At 34.7% G+C, this 23689-nt stretch overlaps 1 long non-coding RNA gene across 1 annotated transcript in view; it reads left to right on the top strand.

The window, feature by feature from the left end:
- The first annotated feature begins 7115 nt into the window (after positions 1-7115).
- The window catches only part of LOC105377428 (uncharacterized), a 34489-nt gene continuing 17915 nt past the window's right edge, over positions 7116-23689 (top strand). Inside the window, exon 1 of the long non-coding RNA XR_939203.4 lies at positions 7116-7191. This is a non-coding gene — a long non-coding RNA (uncharacterized LOC105377428). The remainder of the gene's footprint in view (positions 7192-23689) is intronic.

Below are 23689 nucleotides of genomic sequence, written 5' to 3'. Positions count from 1 at the left end.
TATTGCCCACAGTAGGTTTTCAAAAAAAATGTATTTAAAAAGTCGTTAGTGTGACTTGACATGCCCAAGATATCTAAAAGGTATAAAGAAAGTCTGTTCTTAAGGCTTTTGATAAAATGATTTATCATAAAAAAATTGTCAAAAATTTCTCAAAATGTGGGTACTCTTGTGGTGGCAGAATAATAGTTTTCAAGGATGTCCGCATACTAATTCTCAGTACTTTTCAATATGTTATCTTATAAGTGAAAAAGGACTTTTTATGAATGATTCAGTTAACACCTTGAGATTCTAATTTAATCCTGGATTATCTGGATAGACAAATCCAATCGCATAGATCAGTAAAAGCTGAGACTCTTTCCTGGCTGTGGTCAGAAGGAAAGAATGGTCAGAGAGAAGCAAAGTTGCAGGCTTTGAGGATCCAAGGAGATAGAGTCAAGAAATGTGGGTGGCCACTAGAATTTGAAAAGGGCCAGGGAACAGATTTTTCCCTACAGACTCTAAAAGAAATGCAGCCCAGCTGATACTTTGACTTCAGCTCAATGAAAACCTCATGAGATTTCTGAGCTGTAGAAATACAAAACAATACATTTGTATGTGTTTAAACTAATAAGTTCGTAGTAATTTGTTAGCACAGTAATAAAAATCTAATACATCTGCAATGATAATACAGATTTTTTCACACTAATAAAAAATTAAACATAGTCTGGTTCCTTTCATGTTATGATCTTTAAATCATAAGCATTACTTCAGCTTTCTATGTCATACGACTATAACAACGTCTCATGAAATTTTTAGCATCTGTACTTGGAGAAGGGTCAGCATGTAAGTTGGATGTAAGCGTTGAGAAAATAGTCTTCCAGTTTTTGCATAACAGACAGTAAAATGCATGGCAATTTTTTCCATAAATTTTCCTGGTAATGTTCACGAAATCTCTCTCTCTTATCAATCACTCATCTATCTCACTAATCCCTCTCTAGCTCTCTCTATTTCCCTCTTTATATCTGTATATCTCTCTACCTCTCCTCTCTCCTTTCTCTCTATCTCTCTTATCTCTGTTTCTCCTGTCTCTTTCTCTCTCTTTACTCCTCTCCTCCTTCTTTCTCACCTCCCTCTCTCCCCTCTCTCTTTCTTTTTCATCTCATCTCTCTGTCTCCATCCATTTCTATCAACAATCTGATGATATCTGGATGCCTGTAAAATTTTGAAGATAAGAATCTATCCAAGTTTTAACTGAAACAAGTTATGCCAAAACTGGGGGACTTTCCAGTTTCAACACTCTCATTTGCTGTCATTTATAACATGTCCTACACGTATTGGTAAATCACAGTTCTGTCTCTTTCACCTACCTTGTATCTGCTCCCCCTTCTTAAGTTTCAGTTTCCTAAAATAGGTGACTGTAATGTAATTTATTTTCTCTAATAAAATTATAGCTAAATATGACTAAACTCAAAGGTAAACAAAGCTGACTACATTCTTGTTCATCATCATGTGATCTCATGATTTACAAATGTTGACTGTAATCAAGCAAAAAGTGACTAGCTCTCTTTTGCTTGCTCGTTTCTGGTTTTGATCTTTGCATGCATGTCTTCTCTTTTGAAAGTCCTATGCTTCTCCCACTTCTTGTCCAATCTATTAAGCTGTCTATCTAACATCTATCATCTAACTGAGACTTTATTCTCATTTAAAACTCTATCAGAATTAGTCTGCATAGAATTTTAAAAGTAAGCAAAATAAATTATTTTAAGCCCCTAGAAGCAAATTTGGAACTATCTTTGATTTTTTCCATTAATTTTTGCGTATTCAAGCAAAAAGAAAAACTTAACTTTTTTGTACTCTTTAACTCAGTATACTAACATTAAGTATATCATAGACACAGAAAACAAATGCGATAAAAAGTACTTAAATATTCAATAATATTCTTTAAAATTTGTAAATAACAAAGCTCATAATGTCTTGCTTTATTTTATAAACATAATATAAAGTTACTCATATTCATTCACCAAATTAGTTACCAAGGAACATTTTTTAGAAAGTGTCCATTAATCATTAGGAGCACAAACTCCAGATGGAGGCTATTAGCTTAAAACCTTGGTTCTAACTCTGACTGGCTCTTTGGTCAAGGGGAAGTTTCTGTGTGTTCTCTCCATATCTTGGTTCTTTATTGAGTTCCTGGGAGAATTAAGTAAGTTAATATACATTAAGTCATCACAACAGTATAAATACACAATAAAAAAGCATCATGAACTATAGGCGACAAATAATGTAAAACAGCAGCTGGAACAGGTATTAGATTATGTAGTGATAAACTGATGATGAACAGATAAGACAAATCTGAAAATCATGTTTTCTGAATGAGAATGGCATATAAATACAATGTGGCATAATACATTAATCTGCCTTACTATCAAAATAACTATTGCTGTGCTCTTCACCATCAATAAAGCAATACCAAAAATCCCTCGAAGTAGTGAAAATTCAAAACATGTCCAGATAAAAATTGCTTTTATATTGATGCCACCTCTAGGGATATGTTTGGAATTGAAATTCTTGTTTTTGATCACCCTGACATTATTGTTCATTGGAATGAACATGAGAAATTGCTCATCGAAGACGCATAAAATTTCTTAAAAGATTGAAATTTAAAACCCATCCCTGGAGCTTGTCTTAATATTGAAGCAATTTCATAGCCAGGGTTTGAATTTAAGCCCTCATGGATTTCAAATGAGAATTATTTTTACACTGCTTAGCCAGTAAAATAGGAGGACTATCAGTATAGAAATACTGACATTGAGACGGTGCAAAATTCAGATTTTCCAAATGAAATAATATATTATATATGTAGTACTATATTTTTCTGATAAACTTCATTTTCATTTTAATGCTCAAGTTTATAATAACGATAATAGAATACAAGATATTGCTTTGGTAAATCAGATTTTTAAAACTCTAATGACAAAAATGTAACATTTTTTCTGCAGACATGAAAATAATGCTAGGGCAATACTTATTTGTCTATTCCTTTCATGGATATTTAAATGATAATGTGCATTTTTTGCATGATAGCATAATATATTTATACGCAATGTATAATCATGTCATTCAACTATTATTGTATTTTCTAAGAGCATAGTTCATAACACTAAATTAATAAGACTGAATGAAAATATGAAGAATATAGATTAGATCTAGCTATGAATGTGTTTCTTTGTTTTGTTTTATTTATATAGGTACAAGTTTTCGAGTAAATAACTTGTGTTTAATGTGCATCTCTTAAGAAAGAGCTTGAGGCATTGCTCCCCTAGGCCACTGAAATGAATCAAGAGGGAGTAATCATTAATTTGACAAATATTTTTTTAAACACATGTTAGACAAACCTATTGTTGTGGTTAATAAAAATCATTCTAATACTCAAATTAGAGGAGAAGGAAAATAAAGAAAATAATGTCACTTCTCAATACATTGTGTAATGAGCATAAATAGAATAAAAGGGAATGTAAGGGAGATTCAGGAAACCACTTTGCAGGAAGAGATAAGAGCCACACACTGGCCAGAAAAGAAACAAGGAAAATCAAGCTAATGGGGTGTATTTGGGCTGGAACATAGCCAGGGAGGGAGATAATGGTTTGTGAAGAGCTCAGGAAGACTGCTGTGGACCAGTTTATATAGCCTCAGAAAGGCATGTTACATTTGTGCTCAAATTACACAAGGAAGTCACGAGGAGAAGCTTTTAAGGAAGTCCATTACTTGATTTAATTTACATTTTAAGAAAACTTCTGTGACAACCTGTGAGAGGGTCTGAGGTGTTTGTGTGTGGAGGGGATTATCAGTGAGGAGGTAAGGAGGGAGGCCAGTTAAGAGGCTCTTGCAGTGTTCAGGTGAAAGAACAAGTAAAATAATGAGAAACACCATTTGTTTTTGTTGATTAAAAACTCAACTGGCAGCCTATTTGAGAAGATATAAACTTGATATTGGTATATCTAAAAATTGAGCCACCAACCCCAATAACCTACCAAAAAAAAAAAAAAAAGATACTTTTTAGCTATAATGAGAAACACCTGTCTGTTATAGTCGAGATCTGTGTCTCCACCAAATCTCATGTCAAATTGTAATCTCCAGTGTTGGAGGTGGGACCTGGTAGGAGGTGACTGGATCAGGTGAGTAGTTTCTCATGAATAGTTTAGCATCAACCACATGGTACTGTTCTCATGATAGTCAGTGAGTTCTTGTGAGATCTGGTCATTTAAAAGTGTATAACAGCTTTCCCCTTTCTCTTGTTTCTTCTCCCATCATGAGAGATGCCCAGCTCCTCCTTTGCCTTCTGCCATGATTGATTTCTGCCTTCTCGAGGCCTCCTCCGAACCTGAGCAGATGCCAGTGAGAGGTGACAACGTGCTAGCATCCCTCCCTGGCTCTCAGAGCCTCCTCGGCCTCGGCGTCCACTCTGGCCACGCTTGAGAAGCCCTTCAGCCCGCCGCTGCACTGTAGGAGCCCCTCTCTGGGCTGGCTGGCGTGGAGCTGAGTGTGGAATGTGAGCTCCCGGCGGGCCGGGCACTCTGAGTGGCGGCCAATGCCGCTGGCCCCAGGCAGTGAGGGACTTAGCACAGGGCCGGTAGCTGTGGAGGGGGCGCTGGGTCCCCCAGCACTGCTGGCCTGCCCACGCCACACTCGAATTCTTCCCAGGCCTCAGCCGCCTCCCCATGGGGCAGGGCTCAGGACCTGCAGCCTGCCATACCTGAGACCCCCACACCCGCGGGAGGCTCCTGCATGGCCTGAGCCTCCCCAAGGGTTGCCACCTCCTGCTCCGTGGGACCAGTCCCATCAACCACCCGAGGGCTGAGGAGTGCAGGTGCGCGGCGCGAGACTGGCTGGCAGCTCCGCCGGCAGGCAGCTCTGGCCACGACCCTGGCATGGGATCGACTAGGCGAAACCAGCTGGGCTCCTGAGTTGGGTGGGGACTTGGAGAACTTATATGCCTAGTTGGAGGATTGTATATGCACCAATCAGCACTCTGGGTCTAGCCTGGGGTTCGTGGATGCACCAGTCAGCACTCTGTATCTAGCTAATCTTGTGGGGACTTGGAGAACTTTTACATCTAGCTAGAGGATTGTAAATGCACCAATCAGTACTCTGTGTCTAGCTCAAGGTTTGTAAATGCACCAATCAGTGCTCTGTGTCTAGCTAATCTGGTGGGGACTTGGAGAACTTTTACCTCTAGCTAGAGGATTGTAAATACACCAATCAACACTCTGTGTCTAGCTGAGGGATTGTAAATGCACCAGTCAGCACCCTGTCAAAACGGACCAATCAGCTCTCTGTAAAATGGGCCAATCGGCAGGATGTGGGTGGGGTCAGATAAGGGAATAAAAGCAGGCTGCCCGAGCCAGCAGTGGTAACCCACTCGGGTCCCTTTCCACACTGTGGGAGCTTTGTTCTTTTGCTCTTTGCAGTAAATCTTGCTGTTGCTCACTCTTTGGGTCCGCACTGCCTGTATGAGCTGTAACAGTCGCTGTGAAGGTCTGCAGCTTCACTCCTGAAGCCAGCAAAACCATGAACCCAGCAGAAGGAAGAAACTCTGAACATGTCTGAACATCAGAAGGAACAAACTCCGGACACATCATCTTCAAGAACTGTAACACTCACCACGAGGGTCCGCGGCTTCATTCTTGAAGTTAGTGAGACCAGGAACCCACCAATTCTGGACATACTAGCATCATGCTCTTGTACAGCCTGCAGAACTGTGAGCCAATTAAATCTCTTTTATTAATTACCCAGTCTTAGGTATTTATTTATAGCAATACAAGAACAGAATAGTACACTGTCCTTCAGACTTGTTTCCAATTCTGATTTTTCTTCCTCTGAATAACCAATAAAATTGAAGAGTTGGGCTTCTTAGAAGGAGCTATTACAACATTGCAGAAGAGTTTTTTTTTTTTTTTTTTTTTTTTTTTTGTGGAGTCTCGCTCTGTTGCCCAGGTTGGAGTGCAGTGATGCAATCTCGGCTCACTGCAAGCTCCGTCTCCTGTGTTCACGCCATTCTCCTGCCTCAGCCTCCTGACCTGCCACCATGCCTGGCTTATTTTTTGTATTTTTAGTAGAGACAGGGTTTCACCGTGTTAGCCGGGGTGGTCTCGATCTCCTGACCTTGTGATCCACCGGCCTTGGCCTCCCAAACTGCTGGAATTACAGGCATGAGCCACCAAGCCTGACTGAGTTTTTAGAAAGAGTAGATATTCAACAATGGCTCTCAAATATAATTTATCAGGATTCTTCCACAAAAGAAAATTTTATGAGTTCCACACGTTAACATTTGTAGAGTCATTTCATATTCTAAAAATATTCAATTCTGACTCTAAAAAGTGGTTATGACTTACTTGTAACTTCTAGTATAGACCCAAGAATGTACAGGCTAGTATACATTAGCTTCCAGTAGTGACTCTGTAATTGGCAATTCTGTGACACTGGACAAGTCACTTGGGCAGTTTATCTCTTCTCAGACTCTATTTCCTTACCTATAAAATAGAGATAAAAAGAGTATCCTTTTCAGAGAGTTGTTGTGAGGTTTACATTAGATAATAATTAACTTTAAATAAACAGTGTAACATATATCAATGACTTAATAAATATTAGTAATACTATTATTTACATATTTTTATATCATTTATACTCCTCTATGTATATACAAATTCAAAATTACTTTTTCTGACAGAAAGAACGTTTACATAAATTAGTTTAAGAAACAAAGCAACTTTTTGTACAAATCTTTTTACAAGGGTGAACAATAGAGATGTTTTAATGATTACGCTGGTATTTTATAATGTATTCCTTTTCTATTGCTCCTACTATAAATTTCCACAAAATTGGTGCCTTAAAATACCATACTTTTTTTAACCTTATAGTTTTGTAGGTTAGAAGCGCAACATGAGCCTCATTGGACTAATATCAAGATGTCAGAAGGGCTATAACCATTCTGGAGGCTCCAGGGGAGAATTCCTTTCCTTGTTTTTTTTTTTTTTTTTTCAGCTTCTAGAGGCCGTCCAGATTTTTTTGGCTTATGATTGCCTTCTTCCCTCTTCAAAGGCAGCAATGATGCATTTTTCTGTGTCTTTTTTCCATAGACACATCTGCTTCTGACTTCTTCTGCCTCCCTCTTGAACATGTAAAGACATTTGTGATGAAAATGGGCCTACACAGGTAACCCAAAATAATCATATTTTAAGATCTACTGATTAGCAATTTTAATTCCTTCAGTAACAACATCTTTTTTTTTGCCATCTTAACCTAATTTATTCTAAGGTTCTAAGAATTAGGAGATAAACATCTTTGGAGAGCCATTAGAAAGAGAGAGAGAGAGGGAGAGTGTTTTTATGATTCTGATAATAGTAATTCCATTATATGATAGTTATGTCATTTAAAAAATCAATTCTACTTTTCATTTTGCATTCCAAAAGATAGTGAGAAACGTCTTTTTGAAGCACAGTATTTATTATGAGTGTTTGTAAAATGATACATTTGACACATATAGAAGCTAAAGGTTAGTATCAACTAAAGTTGCAGACCTTAAATTAAACTGTCTCTCTGATATATGTTTATTATGGTACAATTAATGTATTTATCTTATAATTTACTCCAACTATACATTATCTATTAATATTCCCTTTCACTGAAAAAATTATAATATGTAATTAAACATGTAATTATTTTTTGAGCAAAATAACTAAAAGAAAAAGAAAAAAGGACAGATTTGTTTCCTAGGAAAAATGGGTAAAACCTGTTTTGATCACAGATGAGATATCTGCTTGGGATTTTCTAGTCAGAATTTTACTTTATTATTTTACCATCTTAGTATATTTAAAATACAAATGTTTACCCCATTTTTATACATATTAAATTATGTTCAATGTCTATTAACATTTTGGGCTCTTTAAAATAGTGTATATTCTAGTTACTGGTCAATGGTTTGGTGAGTAGAGATAGGTAGAACAAAAAAAGTTCACTTTCCTGGAATGTTAATTTTACACAAAATTTTGGCTAAGTATCCCTCTTTATGTTTAAATTGAAGAGTCATTTCATAAAATACAGTGCAATATTTATATGTTTTCATGACAAATTTTGGTCTACTGAGAAATACATTCTTGTAATGTAGCAAATTTATGTTGTAACTTGAAGAACTACGCCTGGGCATGTTTAATTCTTCCCTGCCAGGAGAGGGCCTGTATTAATTCATTTTTACACTGCTATAAAGAACTACCTGAGACTGGATACTTTATGAAGACAACAGGTTTAATTCATTCACAGTTGCACAGGCTGTACAGGAAGCATGGTTGGGGAGCCCTCAGAAAACTTATAATCATGGCAGAAGGGCAAAGAGGAAACAAGGACACATTACCCTGGTGGACCAGGAGAGAGATAGTGAAGGGGGAAATGCTACGCACATTTAAACAACCAGATCATGTGAGAACTCCATCACAGAGCAGCAAGAGGGAAATCTACACCCATGATCCAATTACTTCCCACCAGGTTTCTCCTCAACACTGGGGATTACAATTCAACATGAGATTTGGGTGGGAACACAGAGCCAAATCACACTGTTTTGCCCCTGGCCTTTCCCAAATCTCATGTCCTTCTCAATTTTCAAAATCAATCATGCCTTCCCAAAAGTCCCCTAGAGTGTTAACACATTTCAGCATTAATTCACAGTCCAAAGTCTCATCTGAGAAAAGTCAAGTATCTTCCGTCTATGAGTCTGTAAAATAAAAAAGCAAATTAATTACTTACAAGATGCAATGGAGGTACAGCATTGGGCAAATGCTCCCATTCCAAATGCAGAAATAATACAAAACAAAGGGGCTACAGGCCCCATGCAAGTCTGAAACCCAGCAGGGAAGTCATTAAATCTTAAAGCTTCAAAATAATCTCCTTTGACTCCATGTTTCACATCCAGGACACACTGATACAAGAGGTGGGCTCCCAAGGCCTTGGAGAGCTCAGCCTCTGTGGCTCTGCAGGGTACAGCCCCTGCAGCTGCTTTCATGGGTTGGCATTGAGTGTCTGCAAGAAAGCTGTCAGTGTATCTACCATTCTCAGGTCTGGAGGGTGGTGGACCTCTTCTTGCATGACCACTAGGCAGTGCCCCAGTGGGGACTCTGTGTGGGGGCTGCAACCCCACATTTCCCCTTTGCACTTTGCTAGTTGAGCTTCTCTATGAGGGCTCTGCCCCTGCAGTAGACTTCTGCCTGGACATTCAGGTATTTCCATACATCTTCTAAAATCTAGGCAGAGGCTCCCAAACCTCAACTCTTCTGCACACTTGCAGGCCCAACATCACATGGAAGTTGCCAAGGCTTAGGGCTTGCACCCTCTGAAGCAACAGCCCCAGCTGCACCTTGGCTCCTTTTAGCCATGGCTACAGCTGGAGCACTGAGATGCAGAGCACAATGTCCCAAGGCTGCACCAGTGGGGCCCTGGGCCTGGCCCATGGAACTATTTTTCCCCACTAGGCCTCTGGGCCTGTGATGGGAGGGACTGCTACAAAGGTCTCTGAAATATATTGGAGGCCTTTACCCCATTGTCTTGTCCATTAACATTCAGTTCCTCTTTACTTATGCAAATGTGTGCAGCTGGCTTGAATTTCTCCCCAGTAAATGGGTTTTTATTTTTTACCACATGGTCAGGTTGTAAATTTTCCAAACTTTTGTGCTCTGATTCCCTTTTAAATATAAGTTCCAGTTTCAGATAATCTTTTTGTTCATACATATAAGTATGTGCTCTTAGAAGAAGCCAGGTCACTTCTTGAATGTTTTGCTGCTTAGAAATTTCTTTCACCAGACACCATAAATCATTTCTTTCAAGTTCAAAGTTCCACAGATCTCTAGGGCAGGGGCATGATGCCACCAGTCTCTTTGAAAAAACATTACTCAAGTTTCCAATAAGTTCCTCATCTCCATCTGAGACCACCTCAGCCTGAATTTCACTGTCCATATCACTATCAGCATTTTGGTTAAAACAATTAAGTCTCTAGGAAGTTCCAAACTTTTCCTTATCTTTCTGTCTTCTTCTGAGCCCTCAAAACTATTCCAACTTCTGTCTGTTAGCCAGTTCCAAAGCTGCTTCCATATCTTAAGATATCTTCATAGTAATGCCCCTCTTCTCTGGTACCAATTTTCTCTATTAATCTATTCTCACATTGCTATAAATAACTACTTATGACTAAGTAATTTATTAAGAAAAGTGGTTTAACTGACTCACAGTTCCACAGGCTGTAGAGGAAGCATGGTTGGGGAGGCCTCAGGAAACTTACAATCATGGAGGAAGGGCAAAGGGGAAGCAAGCACATCTTACCATGGTAGACCAGGAGAGAGAGAGTGAAGGGGAAAGTGCTATACAATTTTAAACAGTCAGATCTCATGCAAACTCTATCAGCAAAACAGCAAGGGAGAAATCCGCCCCCGTGATCCAATCACCTCCCACCAGGTTTCTTCCCCAGCATTGGGGATTATAATTCAACAATGATACTTTGGTGGGCACACAGAGCCAAACCATATCATTGTACCTCTGACCAAAAAAATGCTTAAACAAACAATCAAAACATCCAAAAAAGCAAAAAAAAAAAAAAAAAAAAAAAAAGAAAAACAAAAAAAAAAACAGATAAAATACGCAATACCAATATAAATATATAAATTGCTTATGGGCATTAGAAACAGCAAAATCATAAAAGTAAAAAGTGAAAAGGTTTAGGATGCTGAATAAGGAAGAACATTAGAGTGGTGAGCTAATTATCTGCAACCTGATGGTCGCTGCTTGCTTTGCTTTTTCAATTTTGGGTGTTCACAAGAGGCTAAGATTTTGGACTTTATCTAGGCAGTGACTCACTCCTGTAGCAGCACAGAAAAAAGAAATTTTTGAAGTCCTGCAGAGTTAAAGTACTTTATATTCAAAACATTCTGAATTCTGAATTCTGTGCAGCATAGATGTCTAAAAGCTAAGCTGAGTAGAATTTTGGCAGTCTTGCAGCACTTAAGAGATAAAGATTAGAATTCAGTACATCTCCAGAAGACTGGCCCATGTTAATACACTAGGATTTCAGCTGGAAGGCTGAGATTAATCCAGACTTCCCTCATTTCTGTGACTAATTAGCTTAAGGAAATGAGCTCACGAATATTTCTCTTTAGTAAAGAATATAAAGAAGCATCTCTGGAGGAGGATCATTTCACCTGAAACCTATAGATTTATAGAAACAAAACAAAACAAAAACAGACTGACACAAAATAAAAATAAAAATTGCTCAACATGGTTAGGTGTGGTGGCTCATGCCTGTAATCCCAGCACTTTGGATGACTGAAGCAGCAGAACTGCTTGAGGTCAGGGAGTTCAAGACTAGTCTGAGCAATATATCGAGACCCACGCCCCTCACCCCCAGCACCCTCCATCCCTGACTCTACAAGAAGTACAAAAATTAGCTGGATATGGTGGATTGCGCCAGTAGTCCCAGCTACTAAGGAGACCAGGTTGGGAGGATCACATGAGCCCCTAGAAGTTGAGACTACAGTATGCTATGATTGTGCCAATGCACTGCAGCCTGGGTGACAGACTGAGACTCTGTCTCTAAGACAAAAAACAAACAAACAAACAAACAAAAAACAAATGGAAAACAAAAGAATCACTCAACATGCCAACAAACAGGGTCATATAATGATAAACTAACAGGACTTAAAAAAAAAAACCTGAAAATAGATCTGCACATGATCCAATTATGTAAGTCAGCACCAAATACTTTAAAATGCAATTAATATATTATAAAAATTGATATCACTTACAAAACCAGATAAAAGTAGGGAGAAAATCATTGAGTATAAGAATGTGTTGAAAGTATCAAAAGTTCTAGATGTAAAAAAATACATATTTGAAGATCAAAATTCAGTAAATGGAATATTAGAGAATAAATATTAAATTATTGAAATTGAAGGTAGATAATAGAAAATATACAAATGGAAGGACAGAGAATAAAGAAACCAGTTTAGAAAGTAAACATAGGTGGCAAATGGTAAAAGTCAAATCTAGTAAAACAGTTCTGAATGTATTAGAAAAAATGGTGATGTTTTGAGAGGAAGATATTGGAAAGTATCTTCCATTGGGGAAGGCAAAGATTTATTTATCACGATAATAAAAAATTAAATAATTTCAATATATAACTTTAGAACATATTTGACATTACTAAAATTGTAAATTATGTGAAATGACATATATTATAAAATATAACCTCTTTTGGAAAATTCAAGAAGATCTTCATTTTGTGTGTCAAATATTATAATATTTAGTTTTGAATCTGTTGTAGTTTCAAACCTTCTAGTACATTTTTGTAAGCATGCATTCAAATACAGACTGATACACATCTATTGTATCTGCGACCCTAATTGGCCGTAAGTAGTATTGTTTTCGATGGTATGCTTTTTCCAAAATAGTGAACAATTATTATTAAATATTTTTAAAATAATTTGCATGTTAGTTATAACCCTGGAATTTCCAGTAAATATTTAAACTGCTTAAAAATACATTTTGATCCAGAGATAGAGTTAAATTTTTGGCTCTAGTAATTTATCCAAGGCAAAAGATAATTCTTCATTATGTGTGACTCACTCAAACCAGAACATGCTTCTTCCCCCACACTTATGTCTTGAGAATTACTGTCTTAAAAATATTTTAGGGAAACTTTCAAAAGCATAGTATACTCTTATTTTCCAGTCATCACCTGTTGATCCTCTCTCCTTCTCAAACTCATGCTCCATCATTTAAAAATTATTTTAAAGATGTATCTTACAGCTATAACCTCATTCTAAACGCAGTTAATAATCCCCACCCAAACTAAGATCTCCCACCTGGGCTACCAAAATAATTATCCATGATTCCTTGCTTCTACTTTTGCCTATTTTCCCATCTGACCTCCAAATCATATATTCATAGAATAAAGAAAATATTTTTTTCCTTAATTATAGTGTCACTTATCTGCTTTCATTTTTTAAATGTCTTTTTCTTCCACTTTGACTGAAACTCTATTTTTTGTTGTTGTTGTTTTTGGCCTGGAAGTTGCTGCAAGACCTGTCCTTTGGCTGCCTCTCTAATTTGGTGTATTACCGCTCTTCCACTCATTATCCCCTGACACATTGGCCTTTAAATTCTCCAGGCAAATATGATGCCCAGGAATCTTGAAATGCCTCGTAGGTCCCAGCTTCCTGGAATATGCCAGAGGTACATGGCTTGATCCTGTGTTTGATTCAATTAGGTCAGATAACTCTTTTTCTGTCTAAACCAGCACTCAATCCACTTAGTGAATGTTTTTCTTCATCAAACCTATTAAAAATTGACATTATGTTACATATTTATTCATTAACAATATTCTATTTTCTCTGGATGAAATTTCTAAAAAGCAGAAATTGCTGATTTAATTGGCTGTTTCCTTTACCTAAAAAACTCCTAAGAATTCATATCTGCTGACACAATAAATGTTAAATTCATTAATACATAATGAAATAGTTTTTTTTATCTGAACTTTTGGAAAAATAGGTAAAGTAGATTAATATTAAAGGTTATAGGATGTTTTCTTTAAAACAATTTTCAATTTTCCTATTAAGAGAAAAGTTATTTCTCTTTTCCCTCTTCCTACACAATATATCAGTTTATGAGATCATAAAGAAATATATATTTTTATCTAAAGGAGGATTTATTTCATCCTGAAATCTTTGGTTGAATAGTTATTATTTTAATACTTACTAAAACAAACTTTTTATGCTTCTTCCATTGGAATATTTTCAAATTCCGCACTTGTATTCTTTAAATAAGCAAAGGGAATTACCCAGCCACAAAAGACTTACTGTAACTCAGGTGCCGATGGGAAATTTAATATTTTTAATAAAATATTGAGGTATGTTATTGTACGTTTTGTGTTGTGTGATTTGTAATACAAATATGCTTGTCTCAGTTTTAAGAAAAGAGAACACTCTGGAAAAACTCCTTAGGGTTATATACAGGTAATGCAAAGTCAGTGAAATTTTGAGTTATCCCAATGGTCCTGGCAGAAAGAATTAACTTTTCTATAAAATGAGAGTATGTCCAATGCAGAGGAATTGAATCTATGAATTCAAATTTTGTGGCATCAGAAGCCTGTGGTATTTTAATGATGACTTCATTTCATTTAGTGGAATTGTCACAGATTTATAATTATTTAATCTTCTGAACATTAAGCTATCTTACCTGTAAACAATAAAATTGTAATTTTGCACAGATACCATTATCTTTTAACAAAAGATAACAAAACAAAATCTTTTAAAAATAACAAAAAATTGTATGATGATACAGTTTGTCCATATGTAATCTTTAGGTAGAAAGGATCATAATCAATGTTCATTTACCATTGGTAATATTTATTTATTATTATTACTGAAGACCTACATAGATATATTTGCATATATATTTACACTAAACAAATGGCTTTGGCACAAAAAAACTCTTAATAATTGTAATATTTATTGTAGCATACAGGATTATTTTATTTTCTGATTTCTACTTTAGCTTCCTGGAAGATATCAACTTTTTTTATGGAAATTAAATAACTGTTTACTTAAAACAATGCAAGGAACAATGGGGGAGTGGTAATTTCAGACTTTCATATTTTGTTTTATTGCTGGTTTTCTGCTTAGAATTAGCAAGTCTATGCTCTATGCCCAGAATTATAATTTTTAAGAATATTACTATCAGTAAATAGATCAAAGTTCATGAAAAAATATAACATTTATTGTAAGTCTTTTTAAAGTATATTTTTAATCTTTACAATTAGACTATTAGTATCTCAGAAAGAAATACATACAGTAAGTTCTCAGCATCCTCAATTTTGTTGTTGAGGGGTGTGTATGTGTCTGTTTGTGTTTATCATTGCATACTTTCAGTTATGGTTTTCTTTTTGTATTAATGTCCAAAAGTGTTAGAATTATGTCACAACATTCACACTTTAATGCATAGTAAAAAAGATTATTTAAAAGATGCTCTGTCAAATAAAATTTGATAGTAAAACAGGAAAGTAAAACAGTTTTACTTTGCAGACATTATTAAAACATATCAATAACATATTAATCATATTATTAATATATGATTATTTTCAAAACTGTGCTCAGAATAAAAGTGTAAATTTATCTTTAAAATTGGATTATGTAAAATAAAAATTTTATGTTGCTCTACTTTATATAAATTAGTTATAAAATGTTAGTGAACAAAACAGTAATTTTTATTAAGTTTTATATGTATTAAGTACATTTAGCTTTACAAAAGCTGACGCATCACAAAGATAAATATCTAAGGTATAACTACAAATACTGTAATCAGTTTTGGGAAAGCAAAAATTTAGTCAGTTTTTCACACAAAAAATGTTTCACTAATTTCAAAAATTCATTCTTTTAGTTTAGTTACATTTGGAAATATTTAAAACCTAATTAATTATATATTGATTTGTATGCATTTGAATTATTACAGTGAGCAATCTGTAATGGAGAAAAATTATTTAAGACTGGTTGCTGTTCTTCATAAAATTACAGTCTGGTAAGCCAGTACACATACTTGAAACTATTGATATATTAAAAATCGTATCTTAGAACTTTTTAAATTAGAAAACAGACATTTAAACATGTTATCTCAACCTGACATTTTTAGAGACTTAAAAAATACTGCTTCAAAGATAGAAATTTCTGAAGAGCAATAGTTGATAACTACATAATATTGCTGCTGTAACAATGTTCAGCTTTGATGCACAAAGTCAATGAAGAAGGTTTTCATCAGCATCTTAAGATCTCAGCACACATTTTCTTACACAGAAAAGAAATCTGCAAATCACATCACAAAATTGTCTGCACTACTCAGATGATGAAGCTTTAAATCTTTTCCTAATTCAGGTTTATAGCTCCATTTCATTTATAAGAGATAGGGAGAAGTATATATTTTATAAGCTAATGTGTATATTGAACTAGTAAAACAGCTAGCCTTCCCACTCAGACTCAAGCATAAGGAACAGAAAATGTTTGGATAAAGAATGGAAAAACTACACAGGCTGGAATATAAACACAAGAGTGGAGGGAGGAGGAGCTCAGTCTGAGGAAGATTCTTACTGTTTCATATATACCCTATTTATCCTTGTCAGTATTAATTTAGTATTAAAGTTTGGCATCTCTCTTTTAAGAAACTATTCCTGAATATTTTTCAGTATTTATGCAATTTCAATATGTATTTTAAAAGCAAAAATAAGTGAATACAACATAAATATATGTACAAACATACATATTTGTACTACACAATATATGACACAATTAAAATCATATTATTTTCAGATGATGTATTGGTTAGGATTGTCCAGAGGAAAAAAAAACCAATAGGATAAATATAGGTATATATTCTTATGTGATTTAGTGGAAGGCTCAAGAATCAGAAACTCCAATATCCAAGGGTAGGGGAAGATGCATGTTCTAGCTTAAGAAGAGAGAAAGAAAAAGCTCATCCTCTGCTTATTTGTTCTATGAAAGCCCTCAACAAATTGGATGATGCCTGTCCACATTAGTGAAGGCAGATCTTCTTTACTCAGTATACTGATTCGAATGTTAATCTCTTCTGGAAACACCCTAACAGACACACACAGAAATAATGTTTACCAGCTATCTGGGTATTGCTTAGTCTGGTCAAGTTGACACATAAGATTAACTAGCACAGATAATTTTTCTACTTTCAAATTATTAAATTGTTTCATATCTGCATAAATAAATGTTTTATATTTAATCCCCAAATGTGTAGCAAAATTCACAAGTTATTTAGTTGATACAGTTTTTGTACAATATGTGGAAATTGTTTATATTCTAGTACCGTCAAACAAAATACTAACTAAGCTGATACTGTAGGAAAGAGGAATATTCTTAGTGCTTGAATAAGAATTATTTAATTCTTAACAAAATTTAACTATTCCAGCTCAAAAATAATTTTGAATTTTTTCTCAATTTAAAAAACTGAAAAGCAATATTTTTGAAATATAACAAACAAAATACTTAACAAAAGCATAACTGAAAAGCTTGAAGACCCTTAGTTACAGTGGTCCAAATGTGGCATTATAAAGCTTGAATGGGTCTAATTATTGCTCCTTTCATCTTTAAGAAGCTGCTTACGTCTGGGCGTGGTGGCTCACGCCTGTAATCCCAGCACTTTGGGAGGCTGAGGCGGGTGGATCACCTGAGATCAAGAGTTTGAGACCAGCCTGGCAAACATGGTGAAGCCTCGACTCTAATAAAAATACAAAAATTAGCCAGGCGTGGTGGTGAACACCTGTAATCCCAGGTACTCGGGAGGCTGGGGCAGGAGAATTGCTTGAACATGATAGCCAGAGGTTGCAGTGAGCTGAGATCGTGCCACTGCACTCCAGCCTGGGCAACAGAGTGAGATTCCATCTCAAAAAAAAAAAAAAAAAAAAGAAGAAGTTGCTGACAAAGGGTTTAGAGTTTTCACTTAAAAAGCTAGAATACAATTTACAAATAATAAAGAGATTTGAGCTCAACAAAAAGATGATGTTAATATGAACTATGCAGTTGACTCTAAAACATATTGTAATCCCAGCACTTTGGGAGGCTGAGGTGGGTGGATCACCTGAGATCAAGAGTTTGAGACCAGCTTAATTTTTAAAAAATTTAAAAAATTTTTAAAAATTAAGTACAGTATAAATCTGTACTTAAAGTGTATATGTGGATCACAGTGAACAGTATATTCCTATTCATTTAAATAAGACAACTGAAAATTATTATTTTTGCTTTCTACTGGATCTTAGTTTCATGGATGTATATCTTTGTGTGTGTATGTAAGCATGTGTGTATAAATGTGAATTATATTATGTATTTCTATATATTAGCTATATATTAACTGCATATATTAGCACTGCAACATGAAATATACATAGCAGTGTATGTTAAAGTGTCTTATGGAGAAGAAATTCTAACTACAATGAAATTATTCCCAGACCACATGCTTTTTATTGACCTCTGTGTGTGTGTATATACGCATTCAATTTTCCTCACAATATTTTCTGATGTATTTTGTCTTTTCTAACGTTGTGACCTTCTTTTTGTTTTTTTATTTCCCAAAAGTTTCCTCCAATCTTCTGGATAATTCTCTAAGCTAATCAAATTTCATAAGATATTTTCTAAATTAAAATCAGCCAGTCATTTTGTTGCTTGCTGCTAAGACACTAAGTAGTGTAAATAATAAATAGGTATTTCTTTGTGGTAGGAGAAAACATTCAACACATATTCTAATAACTATGGAGAAAATATCTGGGCTATAAAAGCCAAACTACTCTAGAACAAAAATGACTTGTTCTTTAAATGCAAGTATTATGTAGACATGGGGGAAGCTAAGAAGCCAGACAGAAAGAGAAAGAGAGGTACGATAATTGATCATACAGCATAATCAAAAGAGGCACAATACATTGATTTCCTTGGGAGGAAATAATGTAAGGATCAATATATTAGCTTCTATACGGGTTGGGAAACATGTGGGCACAAAATAGCCAATTCAAGTGCAGTTCTTCAGTCTGAAGTGGGGTAAGAAAGTGTTCCCGGCTAGTCACAAATTATGGGCAGATGTGACGCATCTGTTGCTTACACCTGAGTAAGCTAATTAGTTAATTAAATTCTTGGGAGGAGCAGAAAAATAAGCCTGAAGCACAAGGTTTGCCCCAGCAGAGTTGTCCGTTGTACTTCCAAAATGCATTTGAATTTCAAGCTCTCTGATTAGTGGGAAAGAAAGCAAAGAAGGATTTTATTTGAAACCATAAGAAATTAATTAAATAAGAGAAAAAGGATACTGTATTAGAAACGAGGGAAAATGCACGCTTACAAAGTTTCCATTTAATTGGTTTTGTTTTGAAATTAAATAAATTTATACCTATTCAAGGCAATGTTACTAAATTAGACATTTTATTATGTAAGAATAAAATTTATCATCCTCAATTTCACTTATCTAGGGAAAAAAAAGCCCTTAATTTTCTGACAACACTTAATAAGGCACAGGGTCAGCTGTTAATTAGGCCACTAAGGTCAGCAAATCTATTTGTTACTATGATTAGGCTTTGTTTGCTGGCTCTGTAGAAGGCATATTTATGTGAACCACACTTTCCACTCATAATTCACATAATTGGGCAAATTCAGAATGCTAAGATTTCCTCAGTTTTAAGGTCAACGTTTATTTTATACTAAAGTTTTTGATTGAATGTCTTGTTAATGCAGTTGTCTTCTTATACATTAAATTTAAAAATATTTTTGCATAGACCATGTAGACAGCATTTAGCTACATGCAGAATACACTATCTAAAGAAGTTTGAACTACAATCTATATTATATAAGTTTTGAAATACAGGACATTTGTAATTTGTTTTTTTTAAGTTTTAATTTTCAATTTGTGTGGGTACATAGTAGATATATATATTTATGTGATACATGAGCTGTTTTTGATACAGGCATACAATGGATAATAATCATCTTAGGGTAAATGAGATATCCATCACCTCAACTATTTTTTTTTTCTTGTTTAAAAAACATAATTTAACATTTAGCATTGTTGTAAACTACCTGCTTTCAACAAGTGAAGTTTTAAAAAGCCATACATTAATACTTCAGTGTTTTGGTCACAATGGAAGTGTTGGAACTAAAGTAAACCACTTGTATTGAAGCTAAAATTAATAAATTCTATTTTATATTAGATCATATTAACTCACCACAATTCATGAAAGAGCACTAGAGATTACACTTGCAAAGATTTATAAAATATTAAAGACACCTACATGATATAGGGGAAAAATGTGCAATTACATTAAAATAAAAATTTGAATTAGTTTCTTTGTTTACTAGTATATTTGATTTTTTTTAACTTAATGCCTCTTGAAGGGAAAATATTCAGTTTTTTTCTTATAATAAACTGTCCCTTTATTCTAATTCTAATAATGTAATTCTTAAGAATCTTGAAATAAAGTATAATAAACTGTCCCTTTATTCTAATTCTAATAATGTAATTCTTAAGAATCTTGAAATAAAGTAAGAAAGAATACTGTTAAAGGAGGATAACTGCTTGATCATTAAAATAATATATTCTTGTAAAGTGTATTGTAAATGACCCAGTGTGCCCTTTAAGTGCTTCCACATGAGGCAGTAAAAATCAGTGCATTACATTTGCAAAGTCAATAAAGCTGGCATAAAAAGAGATACTTTGCTTTTAGTAACATCACATAGCCATTACATAGAAACACAACATTAAATAGCTTTAATTCTCTACAGTTAACAATTTTCCACAAAATACATGTATTTCAAGACCAGAAATTATTTCATATGTCTCCTTAGCAGGTATAAATCAATTAAAAAATAATGTGAATATTTTTCAAACTTCACATATGTTATAGCGAGAAATACTTAAAAAATTAATGGAAAAAATAATTTCCAAAAGGATATGTTTAAATAATATGAAACATCAGAAAAATGCTATATTTGTTTGTGATTATTTTAGCTTATCTAAATGTCTACATAAAACATAAACTTTAAGATATAAATACTACAAATTATGCTAAAGATAGGGCAATCATGAATGCAACATAATTTACAAACTAGTATAATTTGCTTGGAAATAAAAATAATTTTCTTCTGGAAAATGTTAGATAGATTCCTCTTTTATGAAATTGGCTAATGGAGCTTGATTCTCAATATTACAGTTAGTAGTTATATTTTTTAGAGTTTTGTCTAAGCAATGTAATTTATGCCATTAAAGTAGGACTGAGTTACAATAAGGGAGGAGGTTCTTATCTTTACCAAAGAGTTTGTGGTAAAAATGGAAATAAGAAATTATAATATACGTTCATGTATTCAAAACCTTGCCTGGCTGGCTCATTGTTGCACATAAATCTACATAATACTCATTATCATTGATTGCCTAGGTGCCGTGAAATAGCTTATGCTCCTGTTGATTTTTAAAGATTGTAACCTTTTGCAAATACCCAACTATATGATTATATTGAATTATTTTTCCAAAAATAATCTTTATTTTACACATGAAATATGGATTCAGCAGTGTTTTTAAGTTAAAGTGACCTTGGCAAGCCAATACCCTTTCAGGGCTCAATTTTCCTGTTTCCAAGATGTGATAACAATACTTGCCTCTGTTTACTTAGAAAAGAATGAAAATAACAAAGATGAAGCAGATTCTCCCAGGGCCTAAAATAGCTCCTGATAGTAAATGAAATACCTTATAGAAACTGAATTAACTTTTCCTGTCCACTAAGTAAAGTTTGAGTAAGTTACTATATCAAAATCATAGAAACTCAAAGAACAGAAGTAAAAATACAACATAACTAAATTAAGCTTTACATTGATTTGGAAATACTATAGAGTTAATTCTGTAATATAAACGTAATAAAGAAAAAGGCACGAAGGCAGGAATTGGTAAGGAGAAGAGGTGTTGTTAATAATATTACCTCTAGAGTGGCTCACAGTTTATAAATACCATCACATACTTTATTTATTTTGATTCTCCTAATAATAACTTGAAGTAATGTCCTGCAATGGGTTGTGGCAGATATGTTATGTGTCCCTCACATCCTCCAAGAAATCTTTATTTTTCCATTGCCTACAGTGTGGTTAGTTGGCAGCTTTCTTCTCTTTGTTAGTATTTTCTCAACTTTTAAGCCAAGGTTATGCTATTCTCAAGGTGCCCCCCAGCCAATGAATGACAAGGTGGTGATAACTGAGAACACTCTCTTTTCAGGAAGGCTCCCAGCCAGTGACTAAGCAGAGCAATGGTATAATGGTCTATTCCTTCCCATTCTACTTGGCACACTTCACATGGGCAATTTTTGCTCCAAAGCTCCCCTGTGGATTAACGGTCCTATCTATGTCAAAGTTATATGCTTAGCCCTGTCTGATTCTTCTCTCTCCCTTTCCTTTTCACAGGCATTAACTCTCCAATAGTATGTTGTATGTCTAAATCTGTTTTCAAAGAGAACCCAACTTAAAAAGGGGAATGGACAAACCCACGAATTGTTCTATGGAGTATATATAGTTAATTTTGTGTATCAACTGGACGGGGTCGCAGGGCACCCAGATATTTAGTTACACATTATTTCTGGATGTATCTGTGAGGATGTTTCCAGAAAAGATTAGCATTTGAATCAATAGATTGAGTGATGATCAAACTATCCAATGTGGGTGGGCATCTTTCAATCCAATGAGGGCCTAAATAGAACAAAAAGGCAGAGGGAGGAAGAGTAATTTTTCTCAGCCTCACTGCTTCAGCTGTGACATCAGTCTTCTCCTGATTTCAGACTGGGACTTAAACAACTGGCACTCAGGCCTTCAAGTTGGATTAGAGCTTGTACCATTGGTTCTCCTGTTTCTCAGACCTTTAGATTCCAACTAAAGCTGCACCATCAGCTTTCCTGGGTCTCCAGCTTTCAGATAGAAGCCAGTGGGATTTCTCAGCCTCTATATTTGCGTGAGCCAATTTTTTTTAATAAATCTTACACACACACACACACACACACACACACACACACACACACAATTGATTTGTTTTTTCCTCTGGAAAACCCAAACCAATACAGGTTGTAAATAAATTTAAAATTATTATGGAAAACCTTAGAAACCAAGAATTAGCATAGAGTGAAGACCTCCCCAATTTCTCCCAATTGTGTGTAGAAACAATTGACAGCACTTTATCATACTTGGGGATCATTTTCAGTAGTAAAACGACAAAAACCTTACCAACAAAAGGACAAAAATTTGAAAAACATGAAATTAAATAGGCAATGGTAGCGATACTTGTTTATAGTATGACAGCTGAAACAAGAAGGCAGTGCCATCACGGTTCAAATTCAACTGGGAACATGCATGTCAGGTGACTCAAATAGTTCTCTCTCTTCACATGTTTGCAAATGACTGCAAATGTCCTGGAAAGTATTGATTTGAAAATTACAAATAAATTTTCATGAGTAGGGGAAATTTCAGTATGGAATATTTGAATAAAAAATTTGATTCTGTACATTTTTATTTGTTAATATGCTTTTTAAACTGAATAATTGCGATTTTAAAAATTAGATTTCCTTCATGGGAGCAAATGTCTTAAAATAATCAGTATCTGACTGGGCATGTTTATCTTCCTGAAACCCTGTTTATCTTCCTGAAACCCTGTTTGTCACCTTTCAGCATCAAATAGAAAATTATACACTTTGAATGGTTTCTATGTTATCTTTACTGTGGTGGTAGAGACATATCAGGTCCCTTCTATTTTTTCCACTCAACTGAGATCTAGGAACATCATGATCATAAATTTGAATATATTCCTATTTCTCAAACTACTCTGAATACTAGACATTATAATTTTATTGGACAGTCTGAACTTGCTATCATGACTTCCATTACTTAATAAAGAAAAAAAAGCTCAACATTTTGTATATGTAATGTACTGAATTAGTAAATGCTAGCTCATTGTGAAGGTTAATTGTATATGTCAATTTGGCTAAGCCATGATTCTCACTGGTCAAACACGAGTCTAGAAGTAGCTATGAAGGTTTTGTTTTTTGTTTTGTTTTTAGCTGAGACTAACACTTAAACCAAGAGACTTTGAGTAAAGCAGATTGCCC

This window comes from Homo sapiens, chromosome 4, assembly GCF_000001405.40.
Source record: "Homo sapiens chromosome 4, GRCh38.p14 Primary Assembly".
In the NCBI taxonomy this organism is placed as follows: Eukaryota; Metazoa; Chordata; class Mammalia; order Primates; family Hominidae; genus Homo; species Homo sapiens.
Note: the sequence above shows the minus strand (reverse complement) of the source record. Positions and strands in the feature narration are given on the sequence as shown.